The sequence below is a fragment of the Homo sapiens genome, chromosome 5, assembly GCF_000001405.40.
Source record: "Homo sapiens chromosome 5, GRCh38.p14 Primary Assembly".
NCBI classification, from domain to species: Eukaryota; Metazoa; Chordata; class Mammalia; order Primates; family Hominidae; genus Homo; species Homo sapiens.
This window is the reverse complement of record NC_000005.10, coordinates 80,556,501-80,574,201: the sequence shown is the minus strand read 5'-3', so window position 1 is coordinate 80,574,201 and position 17,701 is coordinate 80,556,501. Positions and strand designations below refer to the sequence as shown.

The following is a 17,701-nucleotide window of genomic DNA, read 5'->3' as shown; positions in this document are numbered from 1 at the left end:
TGCCTCCTGGGTTCAAGCAATTCTCCTGCCTCAGTCTCCCAAGCAGTTGGGATTACAGGTGCATGCCACCATGCCCAGCTAATTTTTTGTATTTTTCTTTTTTAATAGAGATGGGGTTTCACCACGTTGGCCAGGCTGGTCTCGAACTCCCGACTTCAGATGATCCACCCACTTTGGCCTCCCAAAGTGCTGGGATTACAGGCATGAGCCACCACGCCTGGCCCAAGCATCTACTTCTACTTGTTTCTAAAATATATTTTTTGATGGCATAAAACCATGAGGACAGGGAGTCTCACATTCCAGAGAATCCCAGTCTATCACTCACAAAGTAGGATGTATCCAATTTGGTTTGAATGGCTTGGGTCGGTTCTGGGTCCTCAGCTTCCATGACCTCAGGTCGTAGTGAATCTACACTCCAGGGAGGTGGAGCCACACAAAGGACAGCGGGAAGAGCTGGGAGCTTCCTTCTGTTCCTGTTTCCTCTCCTGAGGCTTCTTAGGTGAATCATGGAGCTTTGCTCCCTGGCAGTCCCTTTGCTAAAATGAGGATAAAAACATCTGTCCTCTCTCCTTCAGGGGTGTAGTTGCTGGACTAAACTGAGATCAGAAGTAGGTATAATCTAGAAATTCTCATTCTCAGACTTTGAATGTTAAAATCATCTCCCTTTAACATTCAGATTACAACGATGGCATGGACTGGCCTGCCCAGGTTACCAGATGAGCTTTGTAGTCTAATCCAGACCTCCCCTTAACTCTCCTGCTGTGGAAGTCAGTCCTCATAATTCCACCATTGTGGCATGTGATGCGACACTGTCCACTGACCACAGGGCCTTTCCCACTGTAAAATGTGATGTGTTCACCACTGTTTAACTGCTGTTACCAACTCCCACGAAGGAGGATCTGCCTTCTCTAACATGTCACTCAGCATGGGTGCCCCCAGGCACAAATCACGTAGTGCCAGCAGGTTGGTGGTGGCTAGAAGTGGTGTTCCAGCATCAGCCCTCCTCTCCTGCCCACCAGTCCTGGCACAGCACCCAGGTCAACAGTAAAAATCCTACAGGTAAATTGTATCTGGGATACAATGTAAATTGTAAATTCATTATCCTCTGTTTATTCAGTCCATCCTCCATTCATGCAACATGTTCCAATATCCTGCTGATAGGTGTGGTGGGTTGAGTAATGAACCGCCATAGAGTTTAATGTCCTAATCTCTAGAATCTATGAATATGTTACCCTACAGGCCAAATTAATTTTGCAGCTGTGATTAAATGAAGGATTTTGAAATGGAAGATCATCCAAGTGGGTCCAGTGTCATCACAAAGGTCCTCCAGAGTGAGGCAGGAGAGTCAGAGGGAGAGAAGGAAGCAGAGGGAGAGAGAGACATGTAACAACAGAAGCGTGGCAGTGGGGAGAGGAGGGCAGGGAGGGAGAGAGAGGGAGAGACAGATATTGAAGATGGAGGAAGGGGCCACCAGCCAAAGAATGCAGATGGCCTCTAAAAGCTAGAAAGGGCAAGGAAACAGATTGTCCCCTGGAACCCCCAAAAGTAATGCAATCTTGCTGAGACTCTGGTTTTAACCACATAAAATTCAACTTGGACTTCTGACCTCCCGAACTGTAAGAGGATAAATCTGTGTTCTTTAAGCCACAATAAGTTCGTGGTGATTTTGTTTGTGGTAACAAGCAGCAATAGAAAACTAATAAAGTAGAAGTGAAAATTGGATCATCTGCTTTGAAAAGCTGTTTGGTGGCATCTCCAGAAGCTGAACATATGCCTACATCATGACTCACAATTCCACTCCTAGGTATGTACCCAACAGAAATAAGTATATATGGTCACCAAAAGACATCTATTTTAATGTTCATAGCAGCATTATTTGTAATGTCCCAAACCTGAGAATTACCCAAATGTCTATCAGTAGTAAAATGAATAAGCAATTGAGGCACAATCACAAAACGGAATACTATACAGCAAAAAGAATAAACAGACTACAGCCACACACAGTATGCATCTCTTAATCATACTATTAGTGAAAGAGGCCAGTCAACAGAGTGATTCAATCACTATAAAGTACAAAAAGAAACAAAACTACTCTATGCTGTTTGAAGCCACCACTCCCTCCAATGAGAAATCTGAAGAGGGAGTGTTGTGAGGGTACTGGTAATGTTCTGCTTCTTGATCTGGATGATGCTCATTTTGTGCAAAATCATCGGACTTGTGAAATGTGTGTCTTTTTTTTTGAGATGAAGTCTGGCCCTGTGGCCCAGGCTGGAGTGCAGTGGCACTATCTCGGCTCACTGCAGTTGCTGCCTCCTGGGTTCAAGTGATTCTCCTGCCCAAGCCTCCCCAGTAGCTGGGATTACAGGCATAAACCACAACACCTGGCTAATTTTTGTATTTTTGTAGAGATGGGGTTTCATCACGTTGGCCAGGCTGGTCTTGAACTCCTGACCTGGAAGTGATTCACCCTCCTTGGCCTCCCAAAGTGCTGGGATTACAGGCATGAGCCACAGCACTCAGCCAAAATATTTGCCTTTTAATAGGTACACTGCACATTGATGAAATTTTTTTAAGAGAACAGTCGGAGGTGGTAAGGGGGAGGAGCCCCGTGCCTTCATGCAAATTGGCTCAGTCTTCCTGGTAACCTCCAAACAAACAGCTGTAGGCAAAGGGCAGCCCAGATATAGGATTCAAACTCCCTAGAGCCTAACTTTGGGGTAAAGCACCCTGTGCAATTGCTTTGCATATGTTTACTAAATGAGGACCCTTTAGGTCCTCATTTCGGAGAGATCTTTTCTTTAATAAAGGAAGCCTGACCAGAGATAAATCTACTTTTCCCGAGAACTCAAAACTATAAACAAGTTTTGATTGACATTATCTGAATAACAAAAATAGTGATGGCCTTTCTCCACCAGACCCTCCAAGATAAATGAAGAGTTAAAAACTTTGCTTCTGGCCGGGCGTTGTGGCTCACACCTGTAATCCCGGCACTTTGGGAGGCCGAGGTGGGTGGATCACTTGAGGTCAGGAGTTCGAGACCAGCCTGGGCAACATGGTGAAACCCCATCTCTACTAAAAATACAAAAATTGGCCAGGCGTGATGGTGCACACCTGTCATCCCTGCTACTCCAGAGGCTGGCTCATGAGAATCGGTTGAACCCAGGAGGCAGAGGTTGCAGTGAGCCGAGATCACACCACTGCACTCCAGCCTGGGTGACAGAATGAGACTCCGTCTCAAAAAAACCAAAAACTAAAAACGACAGAAAAAGTTGCTTCTGCTTCATTTCCTTTTCATCTCTCAGTAGAGTTTAACATATGAAATGTATTTTTCGAAATTTTGTTAATATGTTTATTCATGTTTTAATAATAGCATAATAACCTTATAAATTCCTAAAGACGTAAATAAGAACGGTTGTTCCCACTAACACCCCAACCTGAAGTGTGGCTCTGGCTTTACCTGAAGTGGGTACAGGGATGCGGAGGGGTGGAAGGACCGGTGGGGACAGATGGACCCATGAACCAGCGGGTGGATGTGAGCTGAGGGGAGGGATACGGACTGGAGGAGCCAAAGCCCGTGACGTAGGGGTGCGTGCTTCCCTCAATGGGGAGACCCTGCTGCCGCTGTTGTTGGCCAAGTCGCCGTGGCCGAAGCGCGGTGGCCGAAGCGGGGGACGGGGGTGGGACTTACGGGGACAGAAGGCGGAGCTTCCAGCAGCTGCTGGCCCCCCTGGGTCCAGAGGAGCCTTGCCGCCCTCACCTGCGCAGAGCCTGGAGCCGACGCGTCACCCCCAGCGGAAGCGCCTCGCTGCCCGGGCGTCTGGCGAGGTGTGCGCTCCGGGTCCCAGCTCCAGCGCTTCGCGGCAGTCGCCCGCCTCTTTCCGCAAGCAGGGCGGGGACTGGGCGGCATCTACCGAGATCTGCGATTCGAGGCGCCGAGGAGCCGAAGACCACAGCTCAGCTCAGACGGCGCCCTAGGGCCGCACAGAGGGTCGGGCAGTGCCGGAGAGAGGTTTGAAAGCGCCGCCGCCAACTCGACAGCGCGTCCCAGGTCAGTGTGAGGCGCCGTCCCTGCCGGCTGCACTTGGGAAACTTTGGCTTGCAGTGGCGGCTGCCGGGAGGAGGACATCGAGGGCGCAGCGTGGAACCCAGCGGCCCGCACGGCCTCAGTGCTCCCTGCCCGGTGCGCGCAAGCCCCTGAAGCCCGCACCTCCCGCTCACCCTGACATTGCAGTGCCCCGAGCAGGATGAGAGACCCAGGGCCAGCCGAGGGCCGCCGGGCTGCAGGGGCCTCCCGAGAGACTCTGCCCCGCCACCCCGGGGCGCGCTCCACGCGAGCTCACCCTCGCGCCTCCTGCCTTTCCCACTGGTTCTCGGTTCCAGTTTTGCGGCCGCTGGGGCTTGGACTCCGCGGGGATGCGGGTTCCGCCTCCTTCTCAGCCTCGCCGAGCGGCGGGAACCGGCGAGGGCTGCCCGGCCGCGGGGTGTCGAGGAGGATGCGGGGCGGGGGGCCTGATGGGCGAAGGTCGGCGCAGCAGCGGGAGCGGCGCGCGCTGGGCCGCAAGAGCGCGCGGGTCGGAGGGGCTGACTTGGGCGCGTCTCCGGAGGGGCTGACTTGGGCGCGTCTCCGCAGGTGCCTCGGCAGCTGGGCAGCAGGAGGTGCCGGCTGGGCGCTGGGGGCGGGCTGGGGACTGCGGAGCCCTTTGCAGCTTCCAGGAGCTCCTGCTTCCAGGAGCCACACAGGGGCGGGCAGCCGGTTCCCGCCCTTCTCAGGTGCGCACAGCCTTGGCACCAGGATACCGGACCCCCTTAGCAGAGAGCCGGGTGCAGAGGTGCGCCTGCTCCGGGATGGGGGCAGTGGCTGCGCCCCTCAGACGCACCATTTCCCAAGGGAGGGCCGCGTCCGGCCGGCGGGCGAGCGGCGCAGGGACCGCTCCGCAGCGGCTGTGGGCAGAACCCGTTTTCATGGATGGTGATCGCCTTAGCCCGCCAGCTGCCTGCCCTGGCTCAGAGATGAGGCGACGAAACGCGCACCCCGCCCCCATCGGTGCCCTGGAGCTGTCGCCCCAGTCACCTTCCTTTGCCCTTCTCCGACAGCGCCTTGAGCTCGCTTCCTCCTGCTCTCAGGAAAAACTGAGGAAACGCGCCTGGTTCCAGGGGTCGGCGGGGACCGTGGAGACGCTGCCAGCATCCTCAACAGCTTGGAAATCCCATCACCTTGGTTCCCTGAGACTTGGAGGACTAGGTTGGCCTCTCTCTCTCTCTCTCTCTCTCTCTCTGTGTGTGTGTGTGTGTGTGTGTGTGTGTGTGTGTGTTTTGGGGGGAGGTGAATCAGTAACAGAGGTTGGGGCATAGATGCCCCAAAGGCCTGGGGGACAGCCGAAGTAACTAGGAGAACACGGCAGCCCTTTGCGGGTATGTGTGGGAAACACAGCAAACCTTACCAGCTACGCGTCTCCTTGGACAGTTTCTAAATATTTCTTGCAAGTCAATACCAGGGAAGAATCTTTTTCTGGCCAGTCATTCCATTTTCCAGGACGACCTCAGATGCATCTTTTATTCTGTCTCTGCCCCTTTCCTTGGGTGGGAGGAGGTACACATTTGCTTGTGGCAAGCAGGCTTGCCTTATTCCAGTGTAGCTGGCCTCCCTCCTGGCCTTCGGCTGCCCACTAGGGCTCTGGGTTTTTTCAAACCCGTCTAGGAAAGGCAGGGCAGCAAACCTCCAGCTCCTGGCCCATTCTACTAATTCAAGGCTGTCCTCTTCTCTGGGACCTGTGAGCTCCCTGGACCCGTCTCTAGGCTGTGGCAGCCATCTATCTCTGCCTTTCACTCCTGCAGGGGAGCCGAGCATCGCACCACTTGGAAGTAATGTCGGAGACAGCTCTGTGTGAATCTGAGGCAGGGGTCCATAGCAAACAGGAAGTGGCCTGGAATGAGGAATGAAGAGTTTGCCTCAGATTTTCTCCAAGTGTGCATTAGAAGCACCTCCCATGGAATATGTGGGAGTGGAGCCTAGAATTTTCTTTTTAACAGGCACTCCATGTGTTTCTTATGCCCACAAAAGAAGAACCCATTGGTATAGGGAACTTAGCATCCCATCGTCAGACCCCATCAGTCCTGAGGATTCCTGTATGCAGTGCCTGTATTTGGTGATGCATGTTTGTAAATGGACATTTATTGAATTCGTAAGTAGCAAGTATGTTCGGATCTTTTAAAATCCTCACAATCATCTACTGTAAAGTAGATATTATCCCCATTTCAGGGGTGAGGAAACTAAGGCTCAGAAGAATGACCTCCCAGAGGTTGATAACTTGGAGAGATCCGGAGCCCAGGTCCCTGATACGCACCCTGCTGCCTCATCTGAGCAGTCTTTAATCCCCTTTGGGGCAGCACATAGGCAGGGACTGGGGCAAGGGCGACGGGCTGAATTTTGAGTTCAAACCCATTTGTTAAGTTCTTCCCCACCATGGCCAGATGATGAACTTTATGAGAGGAAGCGTGGATCCTATTTGGAGGTAGAGTGAAAGGCTCAAAAGAAAATAACTTTTCCTTCTTTTCTTTTCTTTTCTTTTTTTTTTTTTTTGAGACGGAGTCTTGCTTTTGTCACCCGGGCTGGAGTGCAGTGGTGCAATCTCGGCTCACTGCAACCTCCGCCTCCCGAGTTCAAGTGATTCTCCTGCCTCAGCCTCCTGAGTAGCTGGGATTACAGGCACCCGCCACAATGCCCGGCTAATTTTTGTATTTGTAGTAGAGATGGAGTTTCACCATGCTGTCCAGGCTGGTCTCAAACTCTTGACCTCAGTTGATCCGCTCCCCCTCGGCCTCCCAAAGTGCTGGGATTACAGGCATGAGCCACCATGCCCGGCCACTTTTCTGCCTTAATGAAAGGAAAACTGGGGGTGGCATGGGGACAAAAAGCCACAGGAAAGGCCTGGCCTATCGTCTCCAAGATGGCTTTGCAAGCACCTCAGCTCATGCAGCACTGCCATGTGAGATAACACACAAATCAGGCCCTCAAAACAGTCCTACTCCGTGCGAAGCTCATCCAAGAAGCAAGGTGATATTGAGATAAAGGACACAAACATGTAATTGACCTCTGGCAAACAGGTGAGTAAGATGATTGGCTTTGGGAGAGTGCCCTCACCTTTCCTTTCTCAGCCTCCTGATCTGCACCAAGTGAGTGCCGAGGCCCTTCCAACCCCAGCAGTCCTCGCATGGCAGACTCAGCCCTGCAGGCAGACACACACGGGGTTGCTGTGCATAGAATCTCCAGACACTTTACAAACTCATAATCAGTGAGATATGACTAACTGAGCAAACATTGGGGGATTTCTTAATAAGGAATTTAAAAACTAGACTCCAAATGGGAAAGATGCATGTAACAAATTATTGGTGTTTATGTAACTCTGAATAGCTTTGATTTCCTTCAGTAGGAACTGACAGCTGGCTGACAGAAAACTTATCCAGGGAGAGAAGAGACAAAAGTGAAGTGTGAAATTTTGAATAATGTTTTCAGGTAAGTTTCTATTTCCATTTAGAGTGGGTGTCTGGAAGGGTGAATGCAGTTATGGTTTGAATTTCTTTCATGTATCGACAGATATTTTTAATAGGGCTCATCTTTCCAAGATGCAATGTGTCTTACTTCCTTTTCCTGGCTTCCAGTCCCCTCGTAGCAGGGCAAGGAGCTGGGGACTTCAACGTTTGGCCTGCACATGCTCACTGAATCCCTGTTTTCAGCAAGCTGCCTCTAAGTTTGGAGCCTTTCTGATCAATTTAGAAAATAAATCTTCATTTTCTTGCCTAGGAAAGTGGTTGTCTGATTCCTGGGGTGGGATAGAATATGTAGGGGTCCAGTCGTTCTGTTCACAGACTTTCAATCATCTTCTTGTTCTAAGCCCTGATACTCATTGCCATTTTCTATGGCACTTGGGACCTCTAAGTCCTAAATGTCACAGGTCCTGTGGGTAAGCAGCCTCCCTGGGTCTATGTCCTGCAGCCTCCTCTGCTATGCTAAGGCCATTTGCCACTCCACCATCCCCCCATTTCCAGAGCTTGTTTGAAATTGCTCATCTAATGGTATCTCTCCTCCAATTTTCTTTGTTCTTAAAAATACACATATTTAAAATATTTTTTAAAAATAACTCAGTGCTTATTATTTTGGTGGCATCTTGGGCATAGAGGGAGGAACTAAAGGAGCATCGTAAATATGCCATGATGAGGTGCAAGTGATATTAAAGACACTGCAATTTTTGAATGAAAAGCAGTTTATCCAGCTGTTTAATAATTAATATCTTGTAATAATGTCGAAATGATAGTATTTGGAAATTGTAAGGGAAGTATACTTAAAGGATATGCTCTTTCCATGTTTTGCTTATTAGATTCCACTGATGTTTACCAAATGAGAAGAAGCATAGCATCTTAGAAATATGAGATCCTTAAAAAACAACATTTCCAGTATTTTATCTGTTATTTTAAATAGGCTATGGATTGGAGAGATGATAAACATTTCACAAAGCTAATTCTGAGATAAACACTTTAAAAAAGAAGAATGCAGTGAGTGTGAAGACAAAACAAGAAAGTATTTCTCTAGACAGTGTCTGATTTCATTACCACATCCCCATGGAATGCACGTTCTATGATTGTCATTCCACGCATGAGGAACTCAAGACTCCTAGAGGCTGAGAGACTTGATCAGGGCACATAGCCAATAAGTGTGAGAGTCACGATTGACACCTGTCGGATGCCTGAACTTTCTGCAGTTGAACTATTATCTGTATCGAAGGTACAACTGAATTTGGGGATTGCTTATAGTCTAGACATAACAAAGGGATTGACTGGATGTTAGTATGCTATCAGCACTCAGTGTCCAATCAGGATGCTCCAAGGAGGAAAGAACGTTCTAGGCAAGAGAAGTGGTCTTCGTCAAAAGTAGAGTTCAATTCTATGAAAAGGAAATATGTCAGACATAAATATCAGTGTTTTTGATGTACAAATGGAGAAGGTGAGATAAAAGAACCCCTGGAAAAGGATGAAGGGCTAAAGAGAAGGGGATTCTTCCATTCAGGCACTGATTACAGAAAGAACCTGAACATGTATTGTACATTTGGAGAATAAAGTATCTAACACCTTTTTTCTCTGACAAGTTTAATGTCTAGGCAATTTCAAAAGTTCTCTACTAAACGTTAAAAAGTGAGCAAACAGGCTGGGCGCAGTGGCGCACGCCTGTAATCCCAGCACTTTGGGAGGCTGAGGCAGGCAGATCACCTGAGGTTGGGAATTCGGGATCAGCCTGACCAACGTGAAGAAACCCCATCTCTACTAAAAATACAAAATTAGCTGGGTGTGGTGGCACACACCTGTAATCCCAGCTACTCCAGAGGCTGAGGCAGGAGAATCACTTGAACCCAGGAGGCGGAGGTTACAGTGAGCCGAGATTGTGCCATTGCACTCCAGCCTGGGCAACAACAGCGAAACACCATCTCAAAAAAAAAAAAAAAAAAAAGAAGTGAGCAAACAAAGTGGCTTTAAAAGTCTTTATAATGAGGAAAAAGTCAACCTCATGGGGCTGGTTTTGCTGGACACTCCCCCAGTCCTCAGAGGAGAGGGTCTGCCTATGTCCACATTGCAGGTGGATTAGGCAGCGAGTTGGTTCCACTGCTCAACTTCTCTGAGACCCTGGAGCCCACAGCACCCTCTTTTTCCACAAGACTGTGATGGGGCCACTGTCCTCCTTAGGCACGGCCGTCGCCAGCATAGTACCGGCTCCTCTTCTTCTCCCAGAACCTCCTGACACCAACCTTGGTGAAAGAAAAGCTGTGACAGTAAGTGCTCAGGTTTAGTGTTGTGGAGAAAGGCCTTTACTGGAGGATGATAGCTGAAAAGTAGAAAGTCTTGGCTGGGCATGGCGGCTCACACCTGTAATCCCAACACTTTGGGAGGCTGAGGTGGGAGGATCGTTTGAGGCCAGGAGATCAAGACCAGCCTGGACAATATAGCAAGAACCTGTGCCAAAAAATAAAATAAAATATTTAAAAAAATGTTTTAAGTAAAATACCTTCCCCTAAAGATTCTGCTAAGACTTTAAAAACTAAAAACAAGATTGACCTAAACACTAGAAACTCTAAGAGAGTATAATATTGAAATCTGGTATCTGGCAACTTGTTCTCATTTGAATATCTGTTTCTCAAATGCTACTTTTGGTCAAACAATTTTTTTAAATGACTGATACTGTATAGCAATTGAATTGCAATTACTAAGTAGTTTCTATATTTGATATTACATTCCAGCTCATTTCTCTACATTTCTATGATCTATTAAGCCCATTTATATATGAAAAATGCTTTTAAAATGATCCTTTTGTGATCACTGTCTCATGTGAGCTCTTTTCAGATGCTTTGCATTCAGAATAGACCTCTGAGTTGGGACCCAAGCTGTCAACTGATCCCAAATTCCTAAGTTCCTGACTTGCAGGTATGTCTGGCTCCAAGATAGCCTTTATAGAGTATGTCACAGGGGACATAAAATCAAAGCATTCACTCTCATTGCATTTATGTATGTATATATTGAGTAGTTCTTTGCTTTGCATCATGAATGATACTGCAGTGGAGATGAACACTATGTCCTTTTGAATACTGCCTTTCAGGAGCTTAGTTGTTGAAACTCCAGTGAAAGTCAAGGCACAAATGTCATAGATAATGTCATGAGAACTGAATGACTCTTTTAAAAGGAAGACCTAATAGGACTCTTTGTAAATTTTAATAATGAAGTATATCTCACATATATGCTATGCTCTTTTCTGCACACACATTCTATTTTACAATAAGTAAATAAAAGTGATATATAGAAGAGTACATGAAATGCGTACTGTTTAAAGAAGAAGAATAGAATGGACACCCACCTATGCACCACCCAGACTGGGAAATAGAACATCACCTGAACCTTCGGGCCTCTCTCTGTCCCTCCCAAACGGCATTGTTCTCCTAATCTCTACCAAGGAGTAGCTGTCTCTTGATGTTTGTATTAATCATTCCCTTTGCTTTTAAAAAAATTTTTCAGGTTCCCCCTTATATTTGATCCCTAAGTAAAATAATTATTTATTTTTTAAAAACTTAGTAGCAGGTACAAAATTAGATGAATAAAGAAAGGACAATATTGCCAGTGTATGACAAAAGCTTTTCATTTTTCATCTTTTTCAATTTTTCATCTTTTCATTTTTCCGATTAATATGTTTCCTCCAAGTTGCTTTTTTCAGTTTGTTCTAGTCTCTATCTTTAATGTAAGAGGCATTTTTGTTTGTTTTTAAATTTTTGGTGTGGCTGCTCATGGTTAAAGGGTTGGGATTAAAAGCTGATGAGAAGCCTTAAACACACAAATGAGGCTTGCGTTTTCAGCCTCATTTCGGGTACTGATTACAGAAAGAACCTAAACATGTGGGTACATTTGGAGAATAAAGTATCTGACACCTTTTTTCCCTGACAAGTTTAATGTTTAGACAATTTCAAAAGTTCTCTACTAAATGTTAAAAAGTGAGTGAACAGGCTGGGCGCGGTGGCACCAAATGTAAGTACGACCTGGGTGGCATGTCAGATTCTTGAGAGAACACTATAGCAATTTATCCCTGAGGGCTGAGGGCGTGGCTGCCGGCCTCCTCGAAGCCAAGCTGGGGAAGCAGGCTGTGGGACCCTTCAGCCGTGGTCAGTAAGCAATCACTTATTCCCCTGTTTTCTTGTTCTCAAACATGCCTGGTGTCTCCAAGTCCAGAGATGCTCTGTTTCATCATTTCCTGAGAATAAACCTCTAGACATCCCAGAGAGCGGGAGGGGTAGTCTTCTATCTCCTAGTGACTGCCTAGTGGAGTTGGAGGAGTGACCTAAGGTAGCACTTCTCAAACCTTAATGTGCATACAAATCACCTGGGGATCTTGTTAAAATATAGGCTGTGATTCAGTAGCTCTGGGGTGGAGCTGACATTCTGCATATAAAAGAGTTTTCTGGTGGTGGTGATGCCAGGGTAGGATCACACCTCAAGTAGCAAGGACCTAGGAATCTAACTGCTTATCTGACAGCTTTTCACCTACTCCTCCTTATTTTAGCTGTATTCTTCACACACACACACACACACACACACACACACACACACACACACACACACACGCTGAGTCAGTTACTACTGGCTCATCTGCTTTCTGGCTTCCAAAATATTGTTGCTGCCATCTTCTCCTCTTCCCTCTGTCTTTAATTTTGTCTTTGACAAAATTCTTTGGTTTTAAGGATTTTCAGGAAGAAGCAAAATTAGATGTGTGTGTTCTGCCATATTAACCCTAACTATCTGCTAAAATATTTTCCTGAAGTTTGGTTGTAACCAAGTAAATAAAGTCTGTTTCCTTATAAATAACCGCTATTTTAGGCCTCTAGGTCTTTGCAAAAGGAGTATTATCTATTTCTCCCTCCTCCTTTGTCTGCCTGCCAGATTCTTACAAAGTCTTCAAGACCCAACTCAAATAGTTGGCTTCTGTGAAGCCCCTTTTGGTCCCCAGGATGTTAAAGCTTCTGTGCTCTCCTGACTCTGTAACCAGCTGCTTATACAGTATCTCTCCCAAAAGACTGTGAGCTCCTCAGAGATAGGGCTTGTATCTTTGTAGCTCAGTGCCCAGCACATGTCAGGAGCTTGTAGATGTTTAACAATGAAATTTCTGCCTGCATGCTTACTTTTCTCTTTTTTCTTCCCTTTCTTTCTGCTCTCTTCATCTCTTCTTTCTTTTGGTTATTAGATTTGTTATCTATTCTATTATCAAATAGAAATCTATTTCCCATAATCTTAATTTTAAAAGTAAATAGGTAGAATAAACAATAGTTTTCAGTTTCCAAAAACTACTGAATCAATGAAACAGATGTAAATATTATATATACATTCATCTGATTCTCCCCCTCCCAACTCTAAGGACTGTTAAAAGACAAAAATTTTCTTAGTCCTCGATGAAGACATAATTCTTACCACCTAATGGAATTATCTGTTGAAGGAATCTAAATCTAAAATATTTAAATAAATTAAACATAAATATTTTTTAGTTTCAATAACAAAAATTAAAATGTTTACAAAGTCTGGATGGCTCCTTTCAGGTTTCTTGCCTATGAAACTCCTTTTTCAGAGCAGATATACTGTTGTCAAAATTTAACCCTATAGTTCTTGCTAACCTCGTTATGTGGTCAGTATATGATTTAAATAATAGAATCAAGAGAAATGCGTAATCACATGCTCACCATTCCAATCTCAGTGTGAATTTCAGATATTATGTCAGTTATTTTAACACGTTGTAGCCCAAACAATATTTCGTCCTTCAAAAGAAACATAAAAATGTCCCTCAAATTGAAAGTCTAGATATCACTTGCATTACTTAATTGAAGAGCATGTTTAAGTAATGTAATACTAAAGTTTTTACATTAAGCTACCAATATTTTAATTGATTCAGTTGCAATGACAACAGAATTTTGGCTTTTTGGCTTAAGTTTACTTTTTAAAATTTACATTTTAATTAATTTTTTTTAGAGACAGGTTCTCACTCTGTCACCCAGGCTGAGTGCAGGTAGGATGATCATATCTCACTGTAACCTCAAACTCCTGGGCTCAAGTGATCCTCCTGCCTCAGTCTCCTGAGTAGCTGGAACTACAGGTCACACCACCATGCCCAGCTAATTTTAAAACTTATTTTTGGTAGAGATGGAGTCTCACTACACATTGCCCAGGCTGGTCTCAAATTCCTGGCCTCAAGTAATCCTCCTGCTTCAACCTCCCAAAGTGCTGGGATTACAGATGTGAGCCACTGTACTTGTCCTAAATTTGCTTTTTAATATTATTAATTTAAAAATTATTTTTCACAGGTAAATTATTTTTTAATTAATGTGGGACTTAGGAAAGTACTATTTTGGTGCTATAAATATTCAATGAAGATTTTGAAAATAAATTTTAATTTGTAATTTCCTAAAGGTCATTATTATTCAAAAATTTACTTTATTTTGCAATTCACTATTTTGTTCTGCATTTATTAATAGCATGATCCCATTTATGTCCCCTACATATTTTCAAAATTAATTCTGACAAAATGAATATAAGTTGGGATGCTGATTCTGGCTAATCTTTTGGTCTTTGCCATCTTTGATAACCAGGTATTGAGTTCTAACCTCCGAAGATGGATGAAGGTATGGAAATTTCAAGTGAAGGAAATTCCTTGATCAAAGCAGTCCATCAGAGCCGGCTTCGCCTCACAAGACTTTTGCTAGAAGGCGGTGCCTACATTAATGAGAGCAACGACCGTGGGGAAACCCCTTTAATGATCGCTTGTAAGACCAAACATGTCGATCACCAGAGTGTCAGTAAAGCCAAAATGGTGAAATACCTGTTAGAGAACAATGCCGATCCCAACATACAGGACAAATCTGGGAAAACGGCTCTGATGCATGCTTGCTTAGAAAAAGCTGGCCCTGAAGTTGTTTCCTTGCTCCTCAAGAGTGGGGCTGACCTCAGCTTGCAAGACCATTCTAGTTACTCAGCTCTTGTTTATGCTATAAATTCAGAAGATACAGAGACCCTGAAAGTTCTTCTTAGTGCTTGCAAGGCAAAAGGGAAAGAGGTCATCATCATCACAACAGCAAAGTTGCCCTGTGGGAAGCATACTACTAAACAATACTTAAATATGCCTCCTGTGGATATAGATGGGTGTCATTCCCCAGCTACCTGCACCACTCCTTCAGAAATAGACATCAAAACTGCCTCATCGCCACTTTCACATTCTTCTGAAACGGAACTGACGCTTTTTGGCTTTAAAGATCTTGAGCTTGCTGGAAGCAATGATGATACCTGGGACCCAGGTTCCCCTGTGAGGAAACCTGCATTGGCCCCTAAGGGGCCCAAGCTCCCCCACGCTCCACCCTGGGTCAAGAGTCCCCCATTATTAATGCACCAGAACAGAGTGGCTTCATTGCAAGAGGAGCTCCAGGATATTACACCAGAGGAAGAACTATCCTATAAAACCAATGGGCTGGCACTTTCCAAGCGGTTCATCACTAGGCACCAAAGCATTGATGTAAAAGACACTGCACATTTGCTAAGAGCCTTTGATCAGGCCAGCTCAAGGAAGATGTCATATGATGAAATAAATTGTCAATCTTATCTTTCAGAAGGAAATCAGCAATGCATTGAAGTCCCTGTTGACCAGGACCCAGATTCTAACCAGACAATATTTGCTTCCACCTTAAGAAGTATAGTTCAAAAAAGAAACTTGGGGGCAAATCACTACAGCTCTGATTCCCAGCTCTCAGCTGGCCTTACCCCTCCAACTTCAGAAGACGGCAAAGCACTTATAGGAAAGAAAAAGATCCTCTCACCATCTCCTTCCCAATTGTCAGAGTCCAAAGAATTGTTGGAGAATATCCCCCCAGGTCCCCTGAGCAGGAGAAATCATGCAGTTTTAGAAAGGCGAGGTTCAGGAGCTTTCCCTTTAGATCACAGTGTTACCCAAACCAGACAAGGGTTTCTCCCACCCTTAAATGTAAATTCTCACCCTCCCATCTCAGATATCAATGTCAACAACAAGATTTGCAGCCTTCTTTCTTGTGGTCAAAAAGTGCTTATGCCAACAGTTCCGATTTTCCCTAAAGAATTCAAAAGTAAGAAAATGTTGTTAAGGAGACAATCATTGCAAACTGAACAAATTAAGCAATTAGTAAACTTCTAGGAGATGGGTATAAAACACATCTTCTTCAAATGTTTATATCAGAGAAACAAAGAACTAGAGAAGAAATCTTAAATGTTCATTCTTTTAAATCTCGTGATTGGTTAGTCCATAATGGCTAGATGGATTAAAATGTAATGTGATTTGTACTAGGCGTCATGAGCATAAAAAATAATACATAGTTTCTGTTAAGGGAATTCTCTCAAACAAAAGGAAAGCGATTTTTCTCAATGCTTCTAATATTTAACAATCTCCATGTAGTCCAAATTTGTCATTAAAAAAAAATCAAAGAAAGAAGGCCACGTATGTTGGGGTAATTTTTAAAAATTTTCAGATTGGCTAAATATTTTATTAGGAAACAGTTTTCAAGTCAATAATTTTTTTAACATTTCATGTTAATAAATGAGATTGAAATTTTTTATGATCTCTAAACCATAAAAGAAAACACCGACAGCTGTAAAATGTTCTAAGATAAAAAAACTCGAGCTACAAAGAAAGAATGAACTAATTCTTTACAAATGTTGACTGAAGATAGATAAAACTCTAATTAAAAATTTAAAAGGTTAAACACTGTATTAGAATGGGCAACTAAAATATTCGTGGTGTCAGTTTAATTAGTGTCAAACTGGCAAGTCAGAGTTTTACAACCTACTAGTAATCTATGCCGGGTCTTGTTGTTTGTGCACTGTGTTTTGCTTTGCTTTGTTTTGGTTTTTAAACAGACTTACCTGTAAAGTTATCTTACGGAATTATTCTTTCTCCATATCTTTTAAGGAATTATTCTTTCTCCATATCATCTTTTAATTCCTGTTATTAGTTTTGGAAGCTTATCCATAAGTTTCCAAAGACAAGATGATATAAAAGTTAAAAAGCATTCCTCTTTACTTATATCAAATTATTCTTGTCTTTCAAAAAGAACCAAAAAAAAAAAATTCATCATGGATAAAAACTAAGCGCTTGCCTTCTTTTAAAAAGAAAAACTGATGATTAGATTAGGTTAGCTAAAATTAATAGAGGCAGTAGAAACTTAATCACAAAATGTACTAAATATTTGGCAATATTAAACAATGCCTTTTTATTTCTGATATGTAGTTATTAGACATTTATATATTAAGGATAACTTCCTTAGTGTGACATTCCAATCATTTAGTATTTTAGGACCTGTGAATAACTTCCAACAAAATTAATGAATACCATATTAGTATTATAAAATATTATAAAGTAATAATTATATCATCTATATAACTTCAAAGTATGATGTTTATACAAAGAATCCTTATTTCAGTCTAGCAGCTTAACAACAAAGGATAAATCAGACTATACAAAACCTAAGTGTATTAATTTGATGATTGTCACGTACAACTTTCTTTGCCTTCCAAGTAGAGGTGATCCTAACAATTGGCATGATGCTTTTCTTGGTAATTTGATATAAGCAAGTTGTAATGTACATAGTAATTATTTAATTACTGTGGCTTTTATTTTAAAAAGTAATTAGAGGTTTTTCCATTTCATGTCTTGAACAACATTAATATTAATTACACTAGAAATATTTTTTGATTCAGAACTTAGAATTGTACCTGATATTTATAGGTATTTAAATGCTTTCTGCAAGTTAAATATCGAGAAAAGTACTTGACTTCAAGTTGTAAGGATACAATTTGGAAGGGTATGTAAATAGATTAGTTCATAAACAAAATGGTATCAATAAAGATTTTAAATATCATTTTGGTTACTGATTTTTATTTATCTTTCAAATACTAATGATATTTCAACATAATTTCAAGAGCAATTGTGCCACATGCTACTTTGAATAAATAGAAAACTAAGAAAGAATAACTTTTGTTGCTATTCTCAAACCAACATGAAAAAGATATTTAACAGCATTTTAAAAATGTTTTTTGGCCGGACTCGGTGGTTCATGCCTATAATCCCGGCACTTTGGGAGGCCGAGGCAGGCGGATCACTTGAGGTCAGGAG

The 17,701-nt window shown here is 43.6% G+C and overlaps 1 protein-coding gene across 7 annotated transcripts; it reads left to right on the top strand.

The window, feature by feature from the left end:
• The first annotated feature begins 3,921 nt into the window (after positions 1-3,921).
• Positions 3,922-17,447, top strand: ANKRD34B (ankyrin repeat domain 34B). 7 transcript variants are annotated; one of them, XM_047417142.1, is made up of 5 exons: positions 3,922-4,048; positions 5,125-5,242; positions 7,431-7,513; positions 10,387-10,467; positions 14,160-17,447. In XM_047417142.1, exon 5 carries the CDS (start codon positions 14,183-14,185, stop codon positions 15,725-15,727), a length of 1,545 nt encoding a protein of 514 aa, XP_047273098.1. In that variant the 5' UTR covers positions 3,922-4,048; positions 5,125-5,242; positions 7,431-7,513; positions 10,387-10,467; positions 14,160-14,182; the 3' UTR covers positions 15,728-17,447. The 7 variants fall into 7 exon arrangements, with proteins under 7 accessions (XP_047273098.1, XP_006714662.1, XP_011541668.1 ...); XM_006714599.4 differs by having other exon boundaries at positions 7,428-7,513; XM_011543366.3 differs by having other exon boundaries at positions 5,095-5,242.
• Positions 17,448-17,701: the final 254 nt, after the last annotated feature.

Bases quoted from the DNA above. Each gene is read 5' to 3' on its own strand.
- ANKRD34B (XM_047417142.1), top strand. From the start codon at position 14,183: ATGGATGAAGGTATGGAAATTTCAAGTGAAGGAAATTCCTTGATCAAA.